The 12822-nt window shown below is 43.9% G+C and overlaps 3 annotated features.

Annotated features, from left to right (window-relative positions):
* Positions 3273-3838: an enhancer, noted in NCBI's record as "H3K27ac-H3K4me1 hESC enhancer chr8:49457717-49458282 (GRCh37/hg19 assembly coordinates)". NCBI's record gives its function as "activates a minimal SCP1, AML or CMV promoter by ChIP-STARR-seq in primed H9 embryonic stem cells {active_cell/tissue: H9 hESC(primed)}" and the evidence as "EXISTENCE:reporter gene assay evidence [ECO:0000049][PMID:30033119]".
* Positions 5767-6379: an enhancer, noted in NCBI's record as "OCT4-NANOG-H3K27ac-H3K4me1 hESC enhancer chr8:49455176-49455788 (GRCh37/hg19 assembly coordinates)". NCBI's record gives its function as "activates a minimal SCP1, AML or CMV promoter by ChIP-STARR-seq in primed H9 embryonic stem cells {active_cell/tissue: H9 hESC(primed)}" and the evidence as "EXISTENCE:reporter gene assay evidence [ECO:0000049][PMID:30033119]".
* Positions 6380-6993: an enhancer, noted in NCBI's record as "OCT4-NANOG-H3K27ac-H3K4me1 hESC enhancer chr8:49454562-49455175 (GRCh37/hg19 assembly coordinates)". NCBI's record gives its function as "activates a minimal SCP1, AML or CMV promoter by ChIP-STARR-seq in primed H9 embryonic stem cells {active_cell/tissue: H9 hESC(primed)}" and the evidence as "EXISTENCE:reporter gene assay evidence [ECO:0000049][PMID:30033119]".

The following is a 12822-nucleotide window of genomic DNA, read 5'->3' as shown; positions in this document are numbered from 1 at the left end:
AGACTTCAGAATGGATGTCAGAATAAATGATAGCTCCTGCAAATGGCAATCCTCGGGGTTTTGCTCATATGATCCCAGCATTTCACTGGCCTTCATCTTGGAGAAGCCTAAAGGGGTAGTCCTACCTCAAAAGAGGACAAAACTCTGTCCTCAGCAGAGAACAGCAGGCTTTCTGAGGTTTCCTCCTGCGTTACAGCGTTGGTTGTGAGGTTTAAACCAGTATCGTGTTTAAGAGAGAAACCTGTAGACTAGCTGCATTAGACTGAATCTTGAGCAAGTCATTTTACTTCCTGAGCCTCAGTTTCCTAACCCGTAAGCTGAGCTTTAATACTAACAGAACAATTAGCAGTGTTTTATTTGCTATGTGCCAAGCATGGTCTGGGTGGCTTGCATATGTCATCTAACTTAAATCTCCCTAGAGCCCTATGAGTACAAATGAGGAAACTGAGTCACAGACTGGTTATATAACTGCCCGGGGTCACACAGACGGAGGAAGCTAAGGTTTCAGCACAGGCTGCCTGTTTCTCCACCATGATGCTCCCCTCTTCACTGTGCCTCCTGGCTGGAGTAAATGAGCGATGCTCACATTGTCCTCTGGAGTAGTCATTAAGACAATGAGCCACCTTGGCTGCTTCTAGTCTTCGAAGGAACAGTTATGGAGCTGCACTTTAATCTTAACCTATAGCCCCTGTTGTTTTGAGTAACAGAAGAAGGATTCAAACAGGAGCTGAGAGAGGGCAGTTCCACATTCAGCTTCCCACTAAGTTGACCTTGGAAGTGAGTCCTCATTGGTGAAACATGGGCACCTCATTGGTTGTTGTGACCACTGAGTCAGAGGGAAGAGCATGCTCTGAGAAAAAGTTCAAAGCTCCAAATATGAATAACCTCATATGGGCGGCACCCAGAGTTCCACAGTCCTTCTACCTGACATCTCATGTGACTGTAATACGTGAGTCACAGGGCGCATCGCTTTTCCCAATTCACAGACGTGGAAACCAACCCCCTCAAAAAAGTGAGCTAACTCCCCCAGGTGACACAATTAGAACCCAATTTCCATAAATGGAATCTTCTGTATTGAGTTGGTGTCATCATTCCAGTCCAAGAAGACACACAATTACCTCTGACATCTCCAATATCACTTGTGGAGTTTTCAACTTTGCTCTTATATACCAATGCCTGTGGTACACATTTCTGAGGCTCTCAACACCTGCAGATGAATCTCTTGAAATCTGCAGTCATGGGATTAGGTAATGCAGTAGCAGTGGATGTCCAAAACATCCTGCTCTTTACGTAATATTTCTCTTTGTATTCTCACACAAAAGCAGTTAAAAATAAGAGCAGCCATGCCTGTGCCAGGCACACAGAGCCTTGTTTACAGGACGGGAGTGTGTAGGTCTTTTTTGGTAAGACAGCTGTGTTTCTAATGTCATTGTCTTTAGACAAGAAGTCATCTAAAGGATCTATCTCCAGCAATTTCTTCAAAGTATGTGTATTGCAAAAACTGCAACATAAAAAGAAAAATAGATTCATGTGGGACTTTGGAAGCAACATCATTTTTTTACTTTTCCTGACAAAATAAACACCCACCGAACAATGAAGAAACAGCTAAATGAGCACCGGATGAATGAAGCTTGCCCTTCTAAGTGCCTGCACCTGTCCAGAAACAGTGTGTACTTCTGCAGGCCTTACCCATATGCACAGACGAGCTACCTGTGGCCCCTCCTTCAGCATGGCAGGGTTCCCAACCAATTCTGGGGGCCCCCATTGCAGCAGGAGCTCCAGCCTGGCGTCCATGTTCACAGAACCCTAGCTACTTCTGAGTTTTCTGAACCGCACTCTGTCAGAAAGCTGTTGCATCTGGATCTACCCTCAACACTATTCATGTTCACTCCTTCTAACGCAGTGTGGGCTTGAAAACAAGGTAACCTGGCTTAAGACTTCTTTTGTGTGTAGGAGTTTTCTTCTTGAGACTTCCAACTTTGAAGACTTTTCCAGAAAGTTCAAGTTGCCAAATTTCTGACTCCTAGAAAATGAGCATATTGCTGTATGTTATACTTATTTATTCAATGATCATCATAAACCACCCAACAAATTCAGGAAATAGTCATTGAGTGCATACTTTGGATGAGGTACTGTTCTAAGCACTGGGGAAATAGTCATTGAGTGCATACTTTGGATGAGGTACTGTTCTAAGCACTGGGGAAAAGCAACTAACAAGATGGAAAATGTCTCTTACACTACAGGCCACAACTTGCATTCTAGTGGGAAGGGGGAGATAGTAGACAAGTGAACTCTTTCATGAGCAGATCATATGAGGGTAGGATGCGTCCTGAGAAGGACATCAATAGGAAATTATGATGGAGTCCTCGACATGGCAGAGGTGGGGTGTGTGCCCTTTGGGCTGAGACCTGAATAATGTGGAAGGGGCACAGTGCTGAGGTGGAGTCTTGCAGCTCCGTGGGGCACGCTCCAGCCTTTGGTTCTGCTAATGTTTTGTAAACATCAACTGTGTACCAGGCCCTGTGCTGAATGCTAGGGCTGCAAAATTAAATACAGGTGTCAGTCTTTCCATCCAAGGTGGAATGGGATGGGGGGCAGCCAGCCTCTGCTCTTCTTGTGGATGGGAGATTTTCATGCCAGTGTGATGACGCCCTGGGAATGGGCCAACAACCTGAGGAAGGAGGCTGCACCAGGGCAAACCCTGGTCACTGTGAACCCTCCCTGCAGCTGAGATGCAATCTTTATGCGGTGTGATGGCATCTACGACCTCTCTATAAATTGTAAAGGACATTACTCAGACCATCTTGAAGCAAACTGCATGTGCCACATTTAAAAGGGAGGCATGCTTCCAGGGTGTGTCTGCACCAGAGATGTTATCCAACACAAGGTAAGAGAACCAAAGTCTGCCCCTGACATTTAAGTCTCAAGATTATGAGACTTAAAGGAGATATGAGATTAAAGGAGAAGCCTTCTCTTGACATTTCTAAGCATCAAAAAGGAAAGCTGAAGGAACACAGAAACACACTGTGCCTGCCTCACCCTCTCCCTTCACCCTTGGTCTGCCCTTAGCTTTCCAAGGAAGGTCAGAGCTGCACCATTGACGTTAGCTGCCCCATTGCCTCTAAGTTCAGTGATGTTGCCATTGAAAGCAAACCAAACAAACATACACTCTCTCCAGCAAAGCTTCCAGGTGTGTCTCAGGAATGCACGGTGCCCTTATGGGACCCAACCAGGAAGTCCAAACTGGAAGGAAGGGTCACCAGGGACCATGCTAGTCCAGCTCACTGGACGGCAGTCCCTGAAGCCCTAAGAGCCTCACTATGTGCATGCCACAGACCAAATCCCCAAGCCCTGGGAGGGACAAACATCTGCCAAACACTTGTTATACACTAAGAGCTTTCCCATATCCAACTCCATTTGCAGAGCAATCTTGCTGGATGGACATTGTTATCCTCATTTCTAAACACAATCACTGGGAGATTGATTCACTGTGACAGAAATCGGATTTAAAGTTGGGGTTTTCCCGTACCACACTCCACAGCCCAAGCTCTTTCTAAACTGCCATCCTGCTTCCTGTCAGCCCCTCCCCCATTAGATCCGATTCTACAGCATCTCAGGTGATCCCAGGCTTCCCAGGCTCGCCCCCCTGTGGCCAGCCGTTTTGCCCACCTCCCAGCAGACCCTGCAAGACAAGGCGGCCGGGGTTCCTACTGAGACTCCTGCCCTTGCTGGGACCTGAGCTTTTCCTCAAAGCCTCACCTGCCTGGCCCGCCCCATTGTAGTAATGACTTCTTTGAGACGGGAGGGACTTTGGCATCATGCCCTGTGATTTTCTAGCCCAAGCTCCTTGTTTTATAGGTGAGAAGATCAACTCTAAAGCAGGCAAAATGACGTACGCAGGACAGCCAAGTACACTATCAACAGAGCTGCCCTGAAGCCCGGTCCCCACACCTGAGCATTGGTACAATGGCCTGGTGCCCTTGAAATTGCAGAGCTACTCCCAAAGTTGCCTCTATGATATCGTTAACCTCCTAGGGTTTTCCTGGTGATGCGGTGTCAAAAGGACAGCTTCCTGAAACACCGGCTACCATCTGGGGTGTGAAAACATCTGTGTGCTCATGCAAGCTTCATATGAGACGTCATGCATTCTTTGGTGGCAGCCTGAGCTCACCTAGGGCACAAAGCGAGTCACTGTCCTGTATCATGAAATGCAGAGAAAGCTGTTTCATTTAAGAGGATTAGGTACAGAGAGCATCATGCAGTCAAAATCAGGCTTCTTGTCACCAATACTTTTTGAAAACAAACTTTGTCCGCTGATCTTTATATTGTGCGGCAACAAAAACACAGACATCAAAAACTAAGAGAAAAATGCTAAAGAATTACATTTGTAGACAAACCTTGTTGAATGCTTATCATCTGTGTGAGGAACAAGTCAAAGCTGGTTGAATCATGGCTTTCCCTCAGCTTGCAAAAACACGAAGTGACTTCAGCTAAAGTGCTTTAGTCTTTCTAACTCACCACCACACCGATCATGAGAATGCTTGGCAGGAGTTCGATACCAGCCTGACTAACACAGTGAAACCCCCTCTCTACTAAAAATACAAAAATTAGCCGGGTGTAGTGGCCGGGCGCCTGTAATCCCAGCTACTCAGGAGGCTGAGGCAGGAGAATCGCTTGAACCCAGGAGGCGGAGGTTGCAGTGAGCCGAGATCGCTCTTGCTCTCCAGCCTGGAGGACAGAGCGAGACTCGTCTCAAAAAAAAAAAAAAACAAAACAAAACAAAAAAACGAATGCTTGCTCCCCTGCATTTCAGGAAGGAAACTTGAGATAGCAGTTGAGACAGGCTGAGCAGCACATAAAACCTTTTCCAAAGCACAATACTGGTTTTTATTCTTCTGGTTCAAAATGGTACTTCTGCATACTTTAAAATCCCAGTAAACCAAGACAGCTAAGCTAAGTCCTGGGAGTTATGCATCAATCTCCCTTTGGGAGAAAGAAGCAATATTTTTAAAAGTGCCACAGAGGAGATGGTGTACTCACAGCCAGCCCTTTCTTCTTGATTGAGCAACTATAAGTTCTATCTCAGGCCTAGAATTCTATTAAAACATCCTTCATTTTCAAAAACCATGAAGTGAAAATATTTAATGTGGAAGAAGCTGTTTCATGAGCTACTAACAAGTTTTCACAGGACTTGCATGTTACAAGTTGGTCCCCATCCGACGTGGGAGCCTCCAGCTCCAAAACTGCAGTTTTCTAGGTTAGAAGGCAGACGTCTGGCCAAAATAAATATGCGAATGAGTGGGCTCAGCACTCTCTTTAACTCTGACCTCTTCCTTTAATGGGACTTGAGAATGGAGCTTCGCCACTAGGATTTCCTGTTTCGTTTTCCTTTCATCTCTATCTCTCTCACGTTCCATTCCTTGCATTTATATTGCAGTGTTGTTCTCCCATGGAGTTTAGTTTGTACATCTTTCACAGGGCCCATGGAGTTGGAGAGGGTAAATTATTTTAATCTCCAAGCAGATTACACAGCTCACATTGTCCTATTATTTATAAACAAATACAAAGACAGTTCTGAGACGTCTACCACCAGGACAGGTGGAAAGGCACATTTTTAAGCAGTTTATACAGTAAAGCTTTTTTACATGTATTTATAAAATTTGTTTTGAAAAATTAATTGGGTTGTTCAATGGGTGGGGAGGAGATGAAGAGGGAAAATTGCTATCCAATCTGTCTTCATACTTTTTAATTAAGAAAAACAACTTCTGCTCTCCTCCATTAACAGAACTTTTAAATCCTGCTCAACTGGTGTCTTTTTTCCCCAAACAACAACTTGAAAATCTCCAACTGCTGTCTTGCCAAAATGGCTTAAAATGTGTTTTCCCATGGATGATCTCAGAAAAAGAAAAGAAAAGATAGGAAAGAAAACAGAAATGTGTTGATATTTATTGTTCCCTAGAAGCAGAGGACATTTGTAGTGTTGCTTTTCTCCTTCCTGGGATCTCAGGCTCTTTACCTACCAAATGATCTGGAAGGGTTTTGATCAGGCAGAGAAATTAATGGCACTGATTTGCCAGCACAAATTAATACATTCCTTAATGAACCAGAGCACTGCATTAGGCCTGCCCCTCTCACAGGCGTTTGCACTCTCTCCATCAAGCAGCCTGCCTCTCAGACAAATGCCTTTTGCTGTCTTGGGAGCCTGGACAGCTTTCATGTTCCACCTGGGACCAGCTCTCTGAAACCAGGTCACTCTTGGAAGCCACAGGGTATCTTGTAAACAGTGCGGCCAGCCACTTGTGGCCTGATATAGAACAGAAGCACAATTCCAGGGAACTCCTGAGGAATTTCTCCTGCTCTGGAGGAGGCTGCCTGACCATGTGACCCTCTGGAAAGAGAACAAAAGGACGCTCCCTTCTGAAGACAGCGGAAATGTCTTTCTTTGAAAGGCGTTCTTCAGGTGCTGCCCCCTCCGTGGGCCTGCTGGCTGTGAACACTGCCCAAAGCACAGCCTGGCCTGCGACTGGCTAGATGGGGTGCTACAGCTGCGCCTCTCACTGTACTGGGAAGAAGTCCGGGGGGGTGGTGTAAGAGGGAACCACTTTCCTCTCTACAAATTTAGCAGTTCTAGAAGAATACACACAGAGAACAAAAGAGTAAGGCTATATCCCTGCTTTCTTAATAAGAAAGTAAAGGCTATGTGCTTGTATTTATTATTATTATTATTATTATTTAAAGACAGGGCCTCTGCTCTGTCGCTGGAGTGCAGTGGCATGATCACAACTCACTGTAGCCTCCAACTTCTGGGCTCAAGTGATCCTCCTGCCTTGGCCTCCTGTAACTGGGATTACAGGCGCATACTCCACTGCACCTGGCTAATTAGTGTTTGCATTTATTAGTGAATGCACATACTTTATGTGGGCAAGAACTCTGTGGCCTCTTCAGTGAAAGCATGTGTGGAAATGTCTGTGTGGACCTTGGACTAAATCTGCTGACCCTGCACCCAGTTAGTTGCTCCTATTGGGGTAAGGAAGCCTTAAAAGTGTTCAGCGCACATTGATTTTCAAAGACATTATGATGCTAGCACCACATTAATCCTTAGAGTTATCTGATGAACTCACACCAACCAGAAGAAGAAGCTGAAGGTATAGGCTGTTGTTTTGGATTTGAAATGATTTTTCTCTTTTCTTTCTTTTATAATTTTTAAACTTTAAGATGGGTTCCTCATCTGCACAATAACACAAAGCAAAAGGACGTGATCTGATTAACATAAAGATTTTTCTCATGAAGCAAACCAGACTGAGTGACACAAACTGCTTCGCCTTTTAAGTAATTCATGGCAAATATAAGTAAATTCTGTAGATATTATGTATAATGTTTAAGAGAAAAAGATGATTTCGCTCCCTTCTACAAAAAAGAAAATAAAAAGAGTCTTGGCTGGCATAGCCACCAGTGAAGGGCCAGAGGACAGGGTACATGGATGGCACATGGTGTGCCCGGGGCCTGTGGCTGCACAGGTGGCCGCGGTACAGCTCCTGTGTGCCTGGTCACCCATAGAGCCAGAGTCCAGAGAGGGAGTGTCCTCTGTCCTCCTGCCTTGGGAATCCAGGTGTGCCATTCCACTCACACAACAGAGCTACATTCTGATGTGCTAAATATTTTTCTCTGTTCTGGGTGTGCTACTATGACTAGGACAAAAAAAAAAGTTTCTGCTCTCATGGGCCTTGCCATCTTAGGGGGAAGACAGAAGTAGACAAACAAGGAATGTCAGATAGAAGTATGACAAAGTGGATTAAAGAGAATGATGGGAGAGCTCCTTTAAACGAGCTTGTCGGGGAAGGCCTCCCCAAGGTGGGGACATCCCAGCTGAGATCAGGGTGAGCTAAGGGCTCCATGACCTGTTCATTCACCTGTCAGAATCCTGCTTGTCTCTTAAAACCTAGCCCAAGTGCCACGTCCTCAAGAAGTCCTTACTTACAAAGCTGAGCCCCCTCCTCCGTGCCCTCTAGTCCTCTCACTATGGATTTTATTACATTAGACTGAAGTGTTTGTAGCTTTGCCTCCACACTTGAGAGCAGGAGCCCCGCCTCACTCACCTTGACCACAGTATGGCACAGTACCTTGCACCTGGTGGGCAGTCAGAAGAAAATTGCCCCAGTAAGAGGATGACCATGTGAATACATCCACATTGTGGGATGGCCACAGGCAGTTAAAGAAATGAAACTTTGGATCATTTTCTACTTTCCCAACATTATTTCCTACTTCTACGCCCGGAGTGACAGCCCCCATGGCTAGCTCAGGCTGCTGTTAAAGATGCACATGTAGTCTGAGGTTTAAGGCCCATGCAAGGTGGCACCTTGAATGTCCTTTTGCTTTGTAGATTTCCATTCCTCATTTCAACTTTAGGCCCCAGAATACCTCATTGGATCAGAATTGCCTTGACACTTCTTTCTCTCACAGCCTCCATTTCTGCACCAAGCTAGGAGTTGTGCCATGAAGAGCTGAGAGCTCTGCTGTGTTGCCCATCCCTCCAAGGCCTTGACGTGGTGTGCCCAACCAGGAACCACATGGGGCAAAGAGACACATGAGAACCAAAACCCCAAAGCAGCTGGGACCAAAAAGGGCTGCAAACCAGGCCAGATGCCTAGACTTTGGTAGTTCCAAAAGTCTCTTCTGAGAAATAGAAACATTACGATGGTGACTTGCATGGTCTCAGATCCTTTGTTCAGGAGCCCTAGAGGCACTTGGAAAAGTAAGCACAAGGCGGCACTGAGGGACATTCTTTCAATGGAGACCACACAGGATTGCAGGAGAAGATTCTCTCTCAAGAGAATCTCATAACCAAAAATTTCAAAACAAAGAAGTATTTACTAAGCATGAGTTAGCAGACACAATAAACCCTAGGAGTAATAGAACAATGTGCTCAAGGATGTTATAAAAAAAAGTTATAAAATAAGATAAAATAAGTACTTTTTTTTTTTTGAGATGGAGTCTTGCTCTGTCACCCAAGCTGGAGTGCAGTGGTGTGATCTTGGCTCACTGCAACCTCCGCCTCCCAGGTTCAAGTGATTCTCCTGCATCAGCCTCCCGAGTAGCTGGGAATACAGGTGCCCGCCACCACACCCGGCTAATTTTTTGTATTTTTAGTAGAGACAGGGTTTCACCATGTTAGCCAGGATGGTCTTGATCTCCTGACCCCGTGATCCACCCCCCTCAGCCTCCCAAAGTGCTGGGATTACAGGCATGAGCCACCATGCCCAGCCTAAAATAAGTACTTTTAAACATTAAAAAGATAAAGAATCCCATTCTGTAGGTTGCCTGTTCACTCTGATGGTAGTTTCTTTTGCTGTGCAGAAGCTCTTTAGTTTAATTAGATTCCAACTGTCAATTTTGGCTTTTGTTGCCATTGCTTTTGGTGTTTTAGACATGAAGTCCTTGCCCATGCCTATGTCCTGAGTGGTATTGCCTAGGTTTTCTTCTAGGGTTTTTATGGTTTTAGGTCTAACATTTAAGTCTTTAATCCATAATTTTTGCAAACTACCCATCTGACAAAGGGCTAATATCCAGAATCTACAAAGAACTTAAACAAATTTACAAGAAAAAAATCAAACAACCCCATCAAAAAGTGGGCAAAGGATATGAACAGACACTTCTCAAAACAAGACATTTGTGCAGCCAGCAGACACATGAAAAAATGCTCATCATCACTGGCCATCAGAGAAATGCAAATCAAAGCCACAATGAGACACCATGTCATACCAGTTAGAATGGTGATCATTAAAAAGTCAGAAAACAACAGGTGCTGGAGAGGATGTGGAGAAATAGGAACACTTTTACACTGTTGGTGGGACTGTAAACTAGTTCAACCATTGTGGAAGACAGTGTGGTGATTCCTCAAGGATCCAGCACTAGAAATACCATTTGACCCAGCCATCCCATTACTGGGTATACACCCAAAGGATTATAAATCATGCTGCTATAAAGACACATGCACATGTATGTTTATTGTGGCACTATTCACAATAGCAAAGACTTGGAACCAACCCAAGTGCCCATCAATGATAGACTGGATTAAGAAAATGTGGCACATATACACCATGGAATACTATGCAGCCATAAAAAAGGATGAGTTCATGTCCTTTGTAGGGACATGGATGAAGCTAGAAACCATCATTCTCAGCAAACTATCGCAAGGACAGAAAACCAAACACCGCATGTTCTCACTCATCAGTGGGAATTGGAAAATGAGAACACTTGGACACAGGAAGGGGAACATCACACACTGGGGCCTGTCATGGGGTGGGGGGAGGGGGGAGGGATAGCATTAGAAGATATACCTAATGTAAATGATGAGTTAATGGGTGCAGCACACCAACATGGCACATGTATACATATGTGACAAACCTGCACGTTGTGCACATGTACCCTAGAACTTAAAGTATAATTAAAAAAAGATAAAGAATCCTAGCATAAATAATAAGACACTTTAAAATTAGTGTAGATATCTTTGAGAAAGATAAAACTTTTAGAATAAAATATAGTTATTAAAATTAAAAATTCAGGATTGGCTGGGATACCACCTTAGACATAGGTAAATAAAGAATTAGTGAACTAGAATATGTATCTGAGGAAGTCACCCAGAATCTCAAGACACAGAGAGAGAGAGAGACAATAACATGCAAGCAGCACTGAGACCTGAGTTGGAGAACAGAGTCCCCCACATGCCTGGGCAGACCCTGCTTACTGCTCGCACAGCTTCCATTCTGCCGCCTCTCCTCCCAGATTGCTGATTTGTTTGGGGTGACAATACCCCTAAATATATATTTATCTCCCAGCTCCTCAGAGCAAAAAAGTCAGCAAGTGACATAATTCTATCCAGTGAAATAGAAGCAGAAATTTCCAAGTGGCGTTCCTGAGTGTATAGTTTAAAATCCTACCTTGTGTCCTTAGGGTTTTTTCTGTGTGGACCAAAGACAGTGCTGAGGTGGAGCAGTTACCTGGCAGATGTACAAGGGACGATGAAGCAGAAAGCTAAAATGTCCTGAGCCTGCCTCCCTCCAGGCAGCTAGGTATGTGAGGAAAAAAATCACTCTCATCTATTCAAGCCACTGTGAAGTTGTGTTTTCTATCTGATGCAGCTGGATGTAATGTCTCTAACTGATAAAATGTTTAAGAGGCATCTTGAAGGAGAGAATAAAGAGAACAGAAGTGAGATGATACTTTAAGTAGAAATCCCTGAGAAATTTTCAAATCAAACGTAAACACTTAGAAGGAAGAGTCTCACTAAGTCCCAACCAGAAAGGTTAAAAATAAGTCTGTACTTTGACACATTCAAAACATCAAGGGGAGAAAGGAAATCTTAAAGTAACCACAGAGAAAAGACATCACAGATTCAGTGCAGATTCCTCAAAAGAAAGAGACAATGCAATGAGACCCTCCAAGCCTGGAGAGGAAATTACTGTTGACCTGAATTCCCTACTTAGTCAAACTATTACTCAACAGTGAGAGCAAAATAAAGGCTTTTTCAGATAAAGAGGAGCTTATCAGTCAGAGGCCTTCACTGAAATAACTGCTAAGGATATATGTTAGGAAGATGGGAGAGGAAGCCAGAGAAAAACGTAAATGCAGGAAGCGTCAGTGAGCAGAGACACAGAGGGACGCACATGTGAATCTAAACAATTGACTTTAAAATGTACATAAAACCTATGCAGCACATAGCGAAAGCTTATGATTGAAGAGGCCGTTTGGGTAACAAGCACAGAAATTGCCTCTCTGGTATCATTTTTCTAGCAAATCCTGGGCTCTGTTATTCTACAAACAGACTTCCACGTCTGTCTCCAGTTCTTTCCCATAGAAGCGGACTGTAGGGTCAACATTTCTGCCACAGGAAGTAGTTTAGGGACTAAAAGGGCTGCCTCCATATTTTCTGGTGCTACCTAGAAATCTTTGACAACTATCACGATTTCAGTTTACAGACTTTAGTCAGGGAGAAAATTAATTTTAATTGTTTTATATAGAATGCTAAGTAGTTGAATCAAATCCATACCTGAAAAAACAAAACTGGTGCCACATATAACCACTAAATATCACTGCCCCTGTGAATATTATCACTTCCACAATCTAGTCTTCCATTCTGTCAAAACTCCCCCACATATACTTACCCATTTAAATGCAAACAACACGCTATGAAAGGAACAGCCCACTGAGGCTGTTCTCCATGTAGCAAGGAACTTCATTATGGCCAAGTGTTTCCATGGCAACATTGACTTTGTCTTGGGATTGTATATAATAATCCTTGTGGTACAATTTGTTGGATTCTATTGCTTTATGTTGCAATTTGCTTTACTGCATTTTCTAAAATAAAGAAATCATTCGTCCAAAATCATATAATATTCCAATTGATTTTTCTTTTTTGCCTCCTACGCCCTCCCCCCCAACCCTTTTTAACAGTCTTAACACAGTCTTGCTCTTCTTACAGTTAATTTCCTCTAGTCTGATCATTTCCAAAGGAAGTGACAGAAAATCACTAGTAAGATTCCTATGGATTTTTCTGACACTTGTCAAATGCCTCTTGACCTAAAATACAGGCCAACTCTAGCCACTTTGAGACAGAACTTGATATCATTGCCATCTCAAGTTCCATTCCCCCTCATCCCCAGATTAGAGACTTTGAATCCTTTGATTCATTAGAGACCTTGAATGCTTTGAAATATGCTGGGGGTTGACAAAATATTCTCAGGAGAAAAAAATCATTCCTTTCCTCTCTTACTCACAAACACAACATGGAAACTAGACCTAAACCCCAACGCGTTAGCCCCTCGC

This window comes from Homo sapiens, chromosome 8 (genome assembly GCF_000001405.40).
Source record: "Homo sapiens chromosome 8, GRCh38.p14 Primary Assembly".
NCBI classification, from domain to species: domain Eukaryota; kingdom Metazoa; phylum Chordata; class Mammalia; order Primates; family Hominidae; genus Homo; species Homo sapiens.
The sequence above is the reverse complement of the archived record's forward strand: the minus strand, read 5'-3'. Positions and strand labels throughout refer to the sequence as shown.